This window comes from Homo sapiens, chromosome 10 (assembly GCF_000001405.40).
Source record: "Homo sapiens chromosome 10, GRCh38.p14 Primary Assembly".
Classification (NCBI taxonomy): Eukaryota; Metazoa; Chordata; class Mammalia; order Primates; family Hominidae; genus Homo; species Homo sapiens.
Genome location: NC_000010.11, coordinates 25,981,160 through 25,996,606, shown reverse-complemented (window position 1 = coordinate 25,996,606; position 15,447 = coordinate 25,981,160). Strand labels below are relative to the sequence as shown.

At 39.2% G+C, this 15,447-nt stretch overlaps 1 protein-coding gene across 21 annotated transcripts in view; it reads right to left on the bottom strand.

Annotated features, from left to right (window-relative positions):
* The window catches only part of MYO3A (myosin IIIA), a 278,304-nt gene that overhangs the window by 215,926 nt on the left and 46,931 nt on the right, over positions 1–15,447 (bottom strand). For all 21 annotated transcript variants that reach the window (XR_930494.1, XM_011519498.3, XM_011519500.3 and 18 more), the window contains one exon: positions 13–117. Coding sequence is in view for 20 of the 21 variants with exons in the window: in XM_011519498.3 (XP_011517800.1) it covers positions 13–117 (105 nt within the window). In the remaining variant the exon portion in view is untranslated. The remainder of the gene's footprint in view (positions 1–12; positions 118–15,447) is intronic.

The window sequence follows — 15,447 nt, the reverse complement described above, 5'->3', positions numbered from 1 at the left end:
AAATTGCCTTACCATTAGTGCTTCATGTAAAATATAGGCAATTAGAGGCTCACTCATTCTTTCACCCCTCTTCAGAAATCCTTTCACAAGGTCAGTCACTGATCCTCCACTGCAGAGCTAAACAAGAATATTTTAAGATGGCTATTAAAAACATGTGACATTTTATGTTCTTTCTAGAAAAGTTCTTCCAAGACATTTTTAAAAGTGTTCCAATGTTCTCTTTCAAATGATTAATGCCATTATCTTTATGCTTTCATAAATAAAATGAATATATAAACTTAGACTTGTGTAAAATTAATTCCTAGAACACAATTTTCACATGAATTAATTTTTAGAAGATAATTTGGAGAAGCATGAGCTTGATTTTCAAATGCAAGGATAAGAATTATGGGGAGGGGCACCCGCCATTGCTGAGGCTTGAGTAGGTGAACAAAGCGGCCAGGAAGCTGGAACTGCGTGGAGACCACCACAGCTCAAGGAGGCCTGCCTGCCTCTGTAGACTCCACCTGTGGGGGCAGGGCATAGCCAAACAAAAGGTAGCAGAATCTTCTGCAGACTTAAATGTCCCTGTCTGACAGCTTTGAAGAGAGTAGTGGTCCTCCCAGCATGGAGTTTAAGATCTGAGAACGGACAGACTGCCTCCTCAAGTGGGTCCCTGACCCCCGAGTTGCCTTTCTGGGAGGCACTCCCCAGTAGGGGCAGACTGACACCTCACAGGGCCGGGTACCCCTCTGAGACAAAACCTCCAGAGGAACGATCAGACAGCAACATTTGCTGTTCAGCAATATTCGCTGTTCTGCAGCCTCCGCTGCTGATACCCAGGCAAACAGGGTCTGGAGTGGACCTCCAGCAAACTCCAACAGACCTGCAGCTGAGGGTCCTGACTGTTAAAAGGAAAACTAACAAACAGAAAGGACATCCACACCAAAACCCCATCTGTATGTCACCATCATTAAAGACCAAAGGTAGATAAAACCACAAAGATGGGGAAAAACCAGAACAGAAAAACTGAAAATTCTAAAAATCACAGCACCTCTCCTCCTCCAAAGGAACGCAGCTCCTCACCAGCAATGGAACAAAGCTGGATGGAGAATGACTGATGATTTGAGAGAAGAAGGCTACAGAGGATCAAACTTCTCCAAGCTAAAGGAGGAAGTTCGAATCCATCGCAAAGAAGTTAAAAACCTTGAAAAAAGATTAGACAAATGGCTAACTAGAATAACCAATGCAGAGAAGTCCTTAAAGGACCTGATGGAGCTGAAAACCACGGCACGAGAACTACATGATGAATGCACAAGCTTCAGCAACTGATTCGATCAACTGGAAGAAAGGGTATCAGCGATTGAAGATCAAATGAATGAAATGAAGCGAAAAGTTTAGAGAAAAAAGAATAAAAAGAAATGAACAAAGCTTCCAAGAAACATGGGACTATGTGAAAAGACCAAATCTACGTCTGATTGGTGTACCTGAAAGTGGCAGGGACAATGGAACCAAGTTGGAAAACACTCTTTAGGATATTATCCAGGAGAACTTCCCCAACCAAGCAAGGCAGGACAACATTCAAATTCAGGAAATACAGAGAACGCCACAAAGATACTCCTCGAGAAGAGCAACTCCAAGACACATAATTGTCAGATTCACCAAGGTTGAAATGAAGGAAAAAATATTAAGGGCAGCCAGAGAGAAAGATCGGGTTACCCACAAAGGGAAGCCCATCAGACTAACAGTGGATCTCCTGGCAGAAACTCTACAAGCCAGAAAAGAGTGGGGGCCAATATTCAACATTCTTAAAGAAAAGAATTTTCAACCCAGAATTTCATATCCAGCCAAATTAAGCTTCATAAGTGAAGGAGAAATAAAATCCTTTACGGACAAGCAAATGCCGAGAGATTTTGTCACCACCAGGCCTTCCCTAAAAGAGCTCCTGAAGGAAGCACTAAACATGGAAAGGAACAACCAGTACCAGCCACTGCAAAAACATGCCAAGTTGTAAAGACCATCGATGCTAGGAAGAAACTGCATCAACTAATGAGCAAACAACCAGCTAACATCATGACAGGATCAAATTCACACATAACAATATTAACCTTAAATGTAAATGGACTAAATGCTCCAATTAAAAGACACAGACTGGCAAATTGGATAAAGAGTCAAGACCCATCAGTGTGCTGTATTCAGGAGACCCATCTCATGTGCAGAGACGCACGTAGGCTCAAAATAAAGGGATAGAGGAAGATCTACCAAGCAAATGGAAAACAAAAAAATGCAGGGGTTGCAATCCTAGTCTCTGATAAAACAGACTTTAAACCAACAAAGATCAAAAGAGACAAAGAAGGCCATTACATAATGGTAAAGGGATCAATTCAACAAGAAGAGCTAACTATCCTAAATATATACGCACCCAATACAGGAGCACCCAGATTCATAAAGCAAGTCCTTAGAGACCTACAAAGAGACTTAGACTCCCACACAATAATAATGGGAGACTTTAACACCCCACTGTCAACATTAGACAGATCAACGAGACAGAAAGTTAACAAGGATATCCAGGAATTGAATTCAGCTCTGCACCAAGAGGACCTAATAGACATCTACAGAACTCTCTACCCCAAATCAACAGAATATACGTTCTTCTCAGAACCACACCGCACCTATGCCAAAACTGACCACATAGTTGGAAGTAAAGCACTCCTCAGCAAATGTAAAAGAACAGAAATAATAACAAACTGTCTCTCAGACCACAGTGCAACCATACTAGAACTCAGGATTAAGAAACTCATTCAAAACTGCTCAACTACATGGAAACTGAACAATATGCTCCTGAATGACAACTGGGTACATAATGAAATGAAGGCAGAAATAAAGAAGTTCTTTGAAAGCAATGAGAATGAAGACACAACATACCAGAATCTCTGGGACACATTTAAAGCAGTGTGTAGAGGGAAATTTATAGCACTAAATGCCCACAAGAGAAAGCAGGAAAGATCTAAAATTGACACCCTAACATCACAATTAACAGAACTAGAGAAGCAAGAGCAAACACATTCAAAAGCTAGCAGAAGGCAAGAAATAACTAAGATCAGAGCAGAACTGAAGGAGATAGAGACACAAAAAACCCTTCAAAAAGTCAATGAATCCAGGAGCTGGTTTTTTGAAAAAATCAACAAAATCATCAATAGACCACTAGCAAGACTATTAAAGAAGAAAAGAGAGAAGAATCAAACAGATGCAATAAAAAATCATGAAGGGGATATCACCATCAATCCCACAGAAATACAAACTACCATCAGAGAATACTATAAACACCTCTACGCAAATAAATTAGAAAATCTAGATTAAATGGATAAATTCCTGGACACATACACCCTCCCAAGTCTAAACCAGGAAGAAGTTGAATCTCTGAATAGACCAATAACAGGCTCTGAAATTGAGGCAATAATTAACAGCTTACCAACCAAAAAAAAATCCAGGACCAAATGGATTCACAGCCGAATTCTACCAGAGGTACAAGGAGGAACTGGTACCATTCCTTCTGAAATTATTCCAATCAATAGAAAAAGAGGGAATCCTCCCTAACTTATTGTATGAGGCCAGCATCATCCTGATACCAAAGCCTGGCAGAGATGCAACAAAAAAAGAGAATTTTAGACCAATATCCCTGATGAACATCAATGCAAATATCCTCAATAAAATACTGGCAAACCGAATCCAGCAGCACATCAAAAAGCTTATCCACTATGATCAAGTGGGCTTCATCCCTGGGATGCAAGGCTGGTTCAACATATGCAAACCAATAAACGTAATCCAGCATATAAACAGAACCAAAGATAAAAACCACATGATTATCTCAATAGATGCAGAAAAGGCCTTCAACAAAATTCAACAGCCCTTCATGCTAAAAACTCTCAATAAATTAGGTATTGATGGGACATATCTCAAAATAATGAGCTATTTATGACAAACCCACAGCCAATATCATACTGAATGGGCAAAAACTGGAAGCATTCCCTTTGAAAACCGGCACAAGACAGGGATGCCCTCTCTCACCACTCCTATTCAACATAGTGTTGGAAGTTCTGGCCAGGGCAATCAGGCAAGAGAAAGAAATAAAGGGTATTCAATTAGGAAAGAAGAAGTCAAATTGTCCCTGTTTGCAGATGACATGATTGTATATTTAGAAAACCCCATTGTCTCAGCCCAAAATCTCCTTAAGTTGATAAGCAACTTCAGCAAAGGCTCAGGATACAAAATCAGTGTGCAAAAATCACAAGCATTCTTATACACCAATCACAGACAGAGAGCCAAATCATGAGTGAACTCCCATTCACAATTGCTTCAAAGAGAATAAAATATCTAGGAATCCAACTTACAAGGGATGTGAAGGACCTCTTCAAGGAGAACTACAAACCACTGCTCAGTGAAACAAAAGAGGACGCAAACAAATGGAAGACCATTCCATGCTCATGGGTAGGAAGAATCAATATTGTGAAAATGGCCATACTGCCCAAGGTAATTTACAGATTCAGTGCCATCCCCATCAAGCTACCAATGCCTTTCTTCACAGAATTGGAAAAAACTATTTTAAAGTTCATATGGAACCAAAAAAGAGCCCACATTGCCAAGTCAATCCTAAGCCAAAAGAACAAAGCTGGAGGCAACACGCTACCTGACTTCAAACTATACTACAAGGGTACAGCAACCAAAACAGCATGGTACTGGTACCAAAACAGAGATATAGACCAATGGAACAGAACAGAGCCCTCAGAAATAATACCACACATCTACAACTATCTGATCTTTGACAAACCCGACAAAAACAAGCAATGGGGAAAGGATTCCCTATTTAACAAATGGTGCTGGGAAAACTGGCTAGTCATATGTAGAAAGCTGAAACTGGATCCCTTCCTTACACCTTATACAAAACTTAATTCAAGATGGATTAAAGACTTAAATGTTAGACCTAAAACTATAAAAACCCTAGGAGAAAACCTAGGCATTACCATTCAGGACATAGGCATGGGCAAGGACTTCATGTCTAAAACACCAAAAGCAATGGCAACAAAAGCCAAAATTGACAAATGGGATCTAATTAAACTAAAGAGCTTCTGCACAGCAAAAGAAACTACCATCAGAGTGAACAGGCATCCTACAGAATGGGAGAAAATTTTTGCAATCTACTCATCTGACAAAGGGCTAATATCCAGAATCTACAAAGAACTCAAACAAATTTACAAGAAAAAAACAAACAACCCCATCAACAAGTGGGCGAAGGATATGAACAGACATTTCTCAAAAGAAGACGTTTATGCAGCCAACAGACACATGAAAAAATGCTCATCATCACTGGCCATTAGAGAAATGCAAACCAAAACCACAATGAGATATCATCTCATGCCAGTTAGAATGGCGATCATTAAAAAGTCAGGAAACAACAGGTGCTGGAGAGGATGTGGAGAAATAGGAACACTTTTACACTGTTGGTGGGACTGTAAACTAGTTCAACCATTGTGGAAGATAGTGTGGTGATTCCTCAGGGATCTAGAACTAGAAATACCATTTGACCCAGCCATCCCATTACTGGGTATATACACAAAGGATTGTAAATCATGCTGCTATAAAGACACATGCACACATATGTTTATTGCGGCACTACTCACAATAGCAAAGACTTGGAACCAACCCAAATGTCCAACAATGATAGACTGGATTAAGAAAATGTGGCACATATACAGCATGGAATACTATGCAGCCATAAAAAAATGATGAGTTCATGTCCTTTGTAGGGACATGGATGAAGATGGAAACCATCATTCTCAGCAAACTATGGCAAGGACAAAAAACCAAACATCGCATCTTCTCACTCACAGGTAAGAATTGAACAATGAGAACACTTGGACACAGGAAGGGGAACATCACACACCAGGGCCTGTTGTGGGGTGGGGGGAGGGGGGAGGGGTAGCCTTAGGAGATATACCTAATGTAAATGACGAGTTAATGGGTGCAACACACCAACATGGCACATGTATACATATGTAACAAACCTGCATGTTGTGCACATGTACCCTAGAACTTAAAAGTATAATAAAAAATATATATATTAAAAAAAGAAATACAACTCTTTTACCTTAAAAAAAAGAATTATGATTCTACAAATTATTCTCAAATTTTAGGATCTAGGGCTTAAAAGCATTATTGATTTATGATAGTTTAATCAATAGTGCAATAGATTATGTCACCTCAAAACAGTTATATACCATTTTGTATGTACATTAATTTAAAAATTTGAAAAAATTTCAGGATACATTATTATTACAGTAAGTATTACAAATAATATCTTAGAAAATTACCCAGAATATCATGTACCCGTACATACTTTGGCATCCTCCTTCCCCTCCCCACACCCAAAACAGGGAGAATATACATACAAAAACAAGAGGAAGGAACATGGTAGGGGAGTTTTCCACATCTGGGTTCTCCAAAGTTACGTAATATTAAATATCACAGAAAACTTTCAAAAGAGCTGTATGTTTGCAGAACAGAGAAACACTGATATTAGCAGCAAATATTAATTAAAAATGGAAGATAACTGGATAAATGGCCCTGGAACAAGAGAACGTCCCAGTGAAGCACTGACCCCACAAATCCTTGATCCTCCAATCCTTAATACTTCAGCCTTTGCCATCAGCCTTGTCACACATCCCACGGCTCCTTTCTGTGGTTTCCCTGCCCATCACCCTGACATACGGGGCCTCCTCCTTTCCCACCTGCTTGGGAACTAAAGAAACCATCATTTCCCTGACTCTCTTCTAACCCAAGTCAGAAGGTGAAAGCAAATTGAAAAACTGAATGAATTTTCTCATGCAATTTTTCTAATGTGGTGATTAGATTTTACTGGATGCCTGAACACTTATAGTACATTTTGGATTAATAATAATAGTTAAGATGAATTGCATACTTACTTTGTGCCAGGCACATTTCTAATCAGTTTACATGATTATCTCTAAACCTCACCACTGTCTGAAGTAGGTAGTATCATCTTCATGTTAAACATGAAAAAACTGAGGCACATTTATATTTGGTGTTTTTCTTCATTCAGAGAAAACTTCTTTCAGGTTATACAGGAGTATGTGCAGCCTAGCATTCCAAGACTTGCATTTTTCTTCTGTATCAGGAAGGGTAATACCCTTTTAGCTGCATAAACAAGAGTGTTGCTGCCCTGGAAGCCGAATAAAAGGTCAGACTGGCTCCACTGTGGCCTAGTGCTGCTGGCTCACAAAAGTACTCACAATTGATTGAAAAGAAATTGTATCTTTTAAATTGCAAGCTGCTTTAAAAAAAAAAAAAAGCCAAAAAACTAAGTTTGGCTGGGTGCAGTGGCTCACATCTGTAATCCAGCCCTTTAGCAGGCCAAGGTGAAAGGATCACTTAAGGCTAGGAGTTAGAGACCAGCCTGGGTAACACAGTAAGACCCCTGCCTCTAAAAAAATTTTTTTATAAAAATTAGCCAGGCATAGTGGCACATAGCTGAGGTTCAGCTACTTGGTAGGCTGAGGCAGGATTGCATGAGCCCATGAGTTCGAGGCTGCAGTGAGCTACTGCACCCCAGCCTAGGCGACAGAGCGAGACGCTGTCTCTAAAAAAAAAGTAAAAAAAAAAAAAAAAAAAAAGAGTTTTAGGGCTGTGTTTTAAACTTCTAAAAGCACTGTAGGGAGACTAAATTTATCTTCCTATTTCTCCAGTGTGGCCTCTATTTGGCTGTACTTTCTGCAATTGACTATTATGTTAACACAAGAGTAAATATTTGGCTTCTTTGCACATTCTTTTTCTAAATGCTGTTTTAATGGGTTTTTTAATTCCTTTTTTTTAATGCTGAGTATTCTACTGAATGGATGAACCACTGTTTATTCATTTATAAAACTGAAAGGCATTTTAATTGTTTTTGGCAATTATAAGTAGAACTGCTATGAACATTCACGTACAGATTTTGATGTGAATATAAGTTTTCATTTCTCTTGGGTAAGTACAAAGAGAGGAAACTGCTGAATCCTATGGGTTATATATTTAACTGTCTCTGCATCAGCCAGACTGTTTCCCACGGTGGCTATGGCTATACCATCTGCAGCCCCTCTAGCAGTGTATGAGAGTTCTAGTTGTTCCATATCTTCATCAGCACTTGACATTGTGAGGTGTTTCATTAAAGCCATTCTATTTTTTTATTTTATTTTTATTTAAATTTTTTTTAAATTTCAATAGGTTTTTAGGGAACAGGTAGTGTTTGGTCACAAGAATAAGTTCTTTAGTGGTGATTTCTGAGATTTTGGTGCACCCATCACCCGAGCTGTGTACACTGTGCCCAGTGTGCTGTCTTTTATCCCTCACCACCCACCCACACTTTCCCCCGAGTCCCCAATGTCCAGTGTATCATTCTTACGCCTTTGTGTCCTCATAGCTTAGCTCTCACATATGAGTGAGAATATATGATGTTTGGTTTTCCATTCCTGAGTTACTTCACTTAGAATAATGTAGAATAATGGTCTCCAATTCCATCCAGGTGGCTGTGAATGCCATTATTTCATTCCCTTTTATGGCTGAGTAGTATTCGATCATATATATATATCACATTTTCTTTATCCACCTGTTAATTGATGGGCATTTGGGCTGGTTCCATGTTTTTGCAATTGCAAATTGTGCTGCTATGAACATGTGTGTACAAATATCTTTTTCATATAGTGATTTCTTTTTCTCTGTGTAGATACCTAGTAGTGGGATTGCTGGATCAAATGGTAGATTTACTTTTAGTTCTTTAAGGAATCCCCACACTGTTTTCCATAGTGGTTCCATAGTGGTGTTGATGGGAGTGTAAAAATATTCCCTTTTCAATGCTTCCATGCGAACATCTATTATTTTTTGATTTTTTGATTATGGCCATTCTTGAAGGAGTGAGGTGGTTTCACATTGTGGTTTTGATTTGCATTTCTCTGATAATTAGTGATGTTGAGAATTTTTTCATATGCTTGTTGCCCATTTGTATATCTTCTTTTGAGAATTGTTTACTCATGTCTTTAGCCCACTTTTTGATGGGATTTTTTTTCTTGCTGATTTGTTTGAGTTCTTTGTAGATCCTGGATATTAGTTCTTCGTCAGATATATAGATTTTGAAGATGTTCTCTCACTCTGTGGATTGTCTGCTAACTCTACTGATTATTTCTTTTGCTGCGCAGAAGCTTTTTAGTTTAATTAAGTTCCATCTATTTATCTTTGTTTTTGTTGCATTTGCTTTTGGGTTCTTGGTCATGAAGTCTTTGCCTACGCCAATGTCTAAAAGGGTTTTTCCCATATTATTTTCTAGAATCTTTATGGATTCAGGTTTTACATTTAAGTCTTTGATCCATCTTGAGTTGATTTTTGTGGAAGGTAAGAGATGAGAATCCAGTTTCATTCTTCCATATGTGGCTTGCCAATTATCCCAGCACCATTTGTTGAATAGAGTATCCTTTCCCCACTTTATGTTTTTGTTTGCTTTGTTGAAGGTCAATTGGCTGTAAGTATTTGGCTTTATTTCTAGGTTCTCTCTTCTGTTCCGTTGGTCTATGTGCCTGTTTTCGTATCAGTACCATGCTGTTTTGGTGACTATGGCCTATAGTGTGGTTTGAAGTTGGGTAATGTGATGCCTCCAGATTTATTCTTTTTGCTTAGTCTTGCTTTGGCTATTTGGGCTCTTTTTTGGTTCCATATGAATTTCATGATTTTTTTTCTAGTTCTGTGAAGAATGATTGTGGTATTTTGATGGAAATTGCATTGAATTTGTAGATTGCTTTTGGCAGTATGGTCATTTTCACAATATTGATTCTACATATCCATGAGCATCGGTTGTGTTTCCATTTTTTTGTGTCATCTGTGATTTCTTTCAGCACGGTTTTGTAGTTTTCCTTGTAAGAGGTCTTTCACATCCTTGGTTGGATATATTCCTAAATAGTTTATTTATTTATTTTTGCAGCTGTTGTGAAAGAGTTTGAGTTCTTGATTTGATTCTCCACTTAGCTGCTGTTGGCATATAGCAGAGCCACTGATTTGTGTACATCAATTTTGTTTCCTGAAACTTTGCTGAACTCATTTACCAGTTCTAGGAGCTTTTCGGATGAGTCTTTAGGGTTTTCTAAGTATAAGATCATATCATCAGCAAAGAGTGACAGTTTGACTTCTTCTTTACTGATTTGGATGTTCTTTATTTCTTTCTCTTGACTGATTGCTCTGGCAAGGAATTCGAGTACTATGTTGAATAGAAGTGGTGAAAGTGGGCATCCCTGTCTTGTTTCAGTTCTCAGGGGGAATGCTTTCAACTTTTCCCTGTTCAGTATAATGTTGGCTGTGGGTTTGTTGTAGATGGTTTTTATTACCTTAAGGTATTTCCTTTCTATGCCAATTTTCCTGAGGGCTTTAATCATAAAGGGATGCTGGATTTTGTCAAATGCTTTTTCTGCATCTATTGAGATGATCATGTAATTATTATTTTTAATTCTGTTTATGTAGTGTGTCACATTTATGACTTACATATGTTAATCTATCCCTGGATCCCTGGTATAAAACCCACTTGATCATGGTGAATTACTGTTTTGATATGCTGTTGGATTCAGTTTGCTAGTATTTTGTTGAGGATTTTTGCATCTATGTGCATCAGGGATATGCAGTTTTCTTCTGGTCTGCAGTTTCCTTTTTTTGTTATGTCCTACCCTGGTTTTGGTATTAGGGTGATACTGGCTTCACAGAATGCTTTAGGGAGAATTCCCTCTTTCTCTATCTTTTGGAATAGTATCAATAGGATTGGTACCAATTCTTCTTTGAATGTCTGATAGAATTCAGCTGTGAATCTGTCTGATCCTGGACTTTTTTTGGTGGGCAATTTTTTTATTACCATTTCAAACTTGCTGCTTGTTATTGGTCTGTTCAGAGATTCTATATCTTCCTGGTTTTATCTAGGAGGGTTACATATTTCCAGGAATTTATCTGTCTCCTCTAGATTTTCTGGTTTATGTGCTCAAAGGTGTTCATAGTATCCTTGAATAATCTTTTGTATTTCTCTGGTATCAGTTGAAATATCTCCCATTTCGTTTTCAATTAAGCTTATTTGGATCTTCTGTCTCCTTTTCTTGGTTAATCTTTGTCTAACCAGCTTTTTATTTCATTTATCTGTTGTTTTTGTTTGTTTGTTTGTTTGTTTCAATTCCATTTAGTTCTATTCTGATCTTCATTATTTCTTTTCTTCTGCTGAGTTTGGGTTTGGATTGTTTTTGCTTCTCCAGTTCTGTGAGGTGTGACTTTAGATTGTATATATTTGTGCTCTTTCAGAATTTTTTTTTTTTTTTTTTTTTGAGACAGAGTCTTGCTTTGTCACCCACGCTGGAGTGCAGTGGCATGATCTCAGCTCACTGCAACCTCTGCCTCCGCGGTTCAAGTAATTCTCCTGCCTCAGCCTCCCAAGTAGCTGGGACGACAGGCACACACCGCCATGCCTGGCTAATTTTTTGAATTTTAGTAGAAACGTGGTTTCACTGTGTTGCCCAGGCTGGCTGCAAACTCCTGAGCTCAGGCAATCTGCCTGCCTCAGCCTCCCAAAGTGCCGGGATTACAGGAATGAGCCAGCAAGCCCGGCCTCAGACTTTTTGATGTAGTAGGGATTTAATGCTATGAACTTTTCTCTTAGAACTGCTTTTGCTGTATCCCAGAGTTTTTGATAGGTTGTGTCACTATTATTGTTCAGTTCAAATAATTTTTTCATTTCCATCTTGATTTCATTGTTGACCAATGATCATTTAGGAGCAGGTTATTTAATTTCCATGTATTTGCATGATTTTGAGGGTTCCTTTTGGAGTTCATTTCCAATTTTATTCCACTGTGGTCTTGATATGGCTTTGATGACTGTAGGAACACCAGGGTTTTTGGTTTTGTGCTGACAGGACACAGACACACGTGGAGTGGTTTCAAAGAGCGAAAAGTTTAATGGGCAAGAAAGAAGAAGAGAACAGCTTCCCTGTACAGAGACAAGGGAGGGGGGCTTGGAACAAAAAGAAACACCATGTGTGGCAGAAAGGTAGTTTATTGTATCGGGAGGCTGGAGGAGGTGGTTTCTGGTTTGCATAGGGCCCAGGGGATTGGTTTGACCAGGTGTGTTATTTATGTAGCCTGCGAAAAACCTGGCCCCTTTACCTTAAGTTTTTGCGAGTTCTTATGTGTTAGGTGAGTCTTCTGAAGACAACAGAAACTTGGTTGGTAAATTCTTATCCATTCTGTCACTCTGTATCATTTAAGTGGAGTATTTAGGCCATTTATATTCAATGCTAGTATTGAGATGTGAGGTACTATTCTATTGATCATGCTATTTGTTGCCTGAATACCTTGATTGTTTTTCATTGTGTTATTGTTATATAGGTTCTGTGAGATTTATGTTTTAAGGAGATTTTATTTTGTTGTATTTGGAGGATTTGTTTCAAGATTTAGAGCTCCTTTTACCAGTTCTTGTAGTGCTGGCTTGGTAGTGGTGAACTCTCTCAGTATTTGTTTGTCTGGAAAAGACCTTCTTTCCTTCATTTATGAAGCTTAGTTTCTCTGGATACAAAATTCTGGGCTGATAACTGTTTTGTTTAAGGAAGTTAAAAATTGGACCTCAATCCCTTCGAGTTTGTAGGGTTTCTGCTGAGAAATCTGCTGTTAATCTGATAGGTTTTCTTTTATAGGTTACCTGATGCTTTTGCCTCACAGCTCTTAAGATTCTTTCCTTTGTCTTGACTTTAGATAACCTGATGACTATATGCCTAGGCAATGATCTTTTGTGATGATTTTCCCAGGTGTTCTCTGAGCTTCTTGTATTTGGATGTATTTGCTAGATCTCTAGCAAGGCTGGGGAAGTTTTCCTCAATTATTCCCTCAAATATGTTTTCCAAACTTTTAGATTTCTCTTCTTCCTCAGGAGCACCAATTATTCTTAGGTTTGGATATTTAACATAGTCCCAAATTTCTTGGAGGCTTTATTCACTTTTCAAAATTCATTTTTCTGGCTGGGTGCAGTGGCTCACACCTGTAATCCCAGCACTTTGGGAGGCCGAGGCGGGTGGATCACAAGGTCAGGAGATCGAGACCATCCTGGATAACACGGTGAAACCCCGTCTCTATTAAAAATACAAAAAAAATTAGCTGGGCGTGGTGGCGGGCGCCTGTAGTCCCAGCTACTAGGGAGGCTGAGACAGGAGAATGGCATGAACCCGGGAGGCGGAGCTTGCAGTGAGCCGAGATCGCACCACTGCACTCCAGCCTGGGTGACAGAGTGGGAATTTGTCTCAAAAAAAAAAAACAAAAATCATTTTTCTTTGTCTTTGATTAATTAAAAAGCCTTGTTTTCAAGCTCTGAAGTTCTTTCTTCTGCTTGTGCAATTCTGTTGCTGAGACTTTCAAGTGAATTTTGCATTTCTCTAATTGTGTCCTTGATTTCCAGAAGTTGTGATTGTTTTTTATTTATGCTATCTATTTAATATTTCACTGAAGAATTTTCCTTTCATATCCTGTATCATGTTTTTAATTTCTTTAAGTTGGACTCCACCTATCTCTGGTGCCTCCTTGATTAGCTTAAAATTTGACCTTCTGAATTCTTTTTCTGGCAATTCAGAGATTTCATCTTGGTTTGGGTTCATTGCTCGTGTGCTGGTATGATCTTTTGGCGGTGTTAAAGAATCTTGTTTTGTCGTATTACTAGAATTGTTTTTCTGGTTCCTTCTCATTTGGGTAGACTATGTCAGAGGGAAGATCAGGGATTTAGGGGCTGCTGTTCAGATTTTTTTGTCCCACAGGGTGCTCCCTTGATATGGTGTTCTCTCCATTTCACTAGGAATGGGGTTTTTTAATACCCAAATTGTAGTTATTGGTTTTGCTCTTCTGTTTCCAGCCACCCAGCAGAGCTACCAGGCTCTGGGTTAGTACTGAGGAGCGTCTGCAAAGAGTTCTGTAATGTGATCCATCTTCAGGTCTTGCAGCTGTGGATACCTGCACTGGTGGAGGTAGCAGGGGAGTAAAGTGGGCTTAGTGAAGGTCTTTGGTTGTGTTTTTGTTTAGTGCACTGGTTTTGTGTTGGTTGGCCTCCAGCCAGGAGGTGGTGCTTTCAATAGCATATCAGCTGCAGTCCTATAGAGAGCATGCAAACTTGCCCTAGGGACACCTGGATAGGTATTCAGGTTTCTCAGGTGGTGAGCAGGGCCATAGAGCTTCCAAGAGTTTTTGTCTTCCAAGACCTTCCTCTTTGGCTACCAGAGTGGGTAGAGAAAGACCACCAGGTGGCGGCAGGGATAGGTGTGTCTGAGCTCAGCCTCTCCTTGGGTGGGGCTCGCTGTGGCTGCTGTGGGGCATGACGGTGTAGTTCCCAGTCCAGTGGAGTTATATTCCCAGGGAGATTATGTCTGCCTCTGCTGAGTCACACAGGTCACCAGCAAAGTGGGGGTAAGCTGGCATGCACAAGCCTCACCCAGCTCCCACACAGCCTGCAGTCCTAAAGGCCAGTCTCACTCCCACCGTGCCCCATCAACAGCACCCAGTCTATTTCCAGGCAGCTGGTAACCAGGGCTGAGAGCTTGCCCCAGACTACGAGCCTCCCCATTGAGAAAGCAAGCAGACTCACAGTTTTTTGGCATCTCAGGGAACCTGAAGAGGTGATCCAGTTCCTTCAAAATGTCTCAGATTTCCTGGTATATTCCTGTGGTAGGTAGTTCTTGGAGTAAAACTTCATGATGTGAGTCTTCACATGCTGCTCTGTCTGTCTTGAGTAGGAGCTGCAAGTTAATCTTGCCTTCTATCCACCATTTTAATCCTGTTAAAGCCATTCTAAATAGTACTAGTATCTCATTGTGATTTTAGAGTAGATTTTCCTGATGACTAATAACATTGACCATCTTTTCATGTACTTATTTGCCATCCATATAATTTCTCTGGTGAAACATCCAATTTTTTGTTCATTTTTTCACTGCTTATTTGCTTATTGTTGAGTTTTGAGAGCTCTTTATATATTCTGGATATAAGTCCTTTATCATAATAGATGTTTTGGAAGTATTTCCTCCAACCCTGTGGCTTGCCCTTTTATTTTAAGTGTCTTTTGAAGAGCAGAAGCTCTAAATTGATCATTTAAAACAAATTCATAAAATGTGCCTTTTTGTGTCTAAATTTTTTTTTTCCTAATTCAAAGTCACAATTTTTTTCTCCTGTAATTTCCTTAGGAACGTTATAGTTTTCAGTTTTACATACAGGTAGGTCTGTGATCCGTTTTGACTTAATTTTTGTATATAGTGTGATGTATGGTATGGTTGGTATATGGATGTCAAATTATAACAGTACACTTTTCTACTAGTGGTAAGTGTCCAAGAAACAGGAGATACAACCCTGAATTGTGTTTAAAATCTAGTTGCAAACACC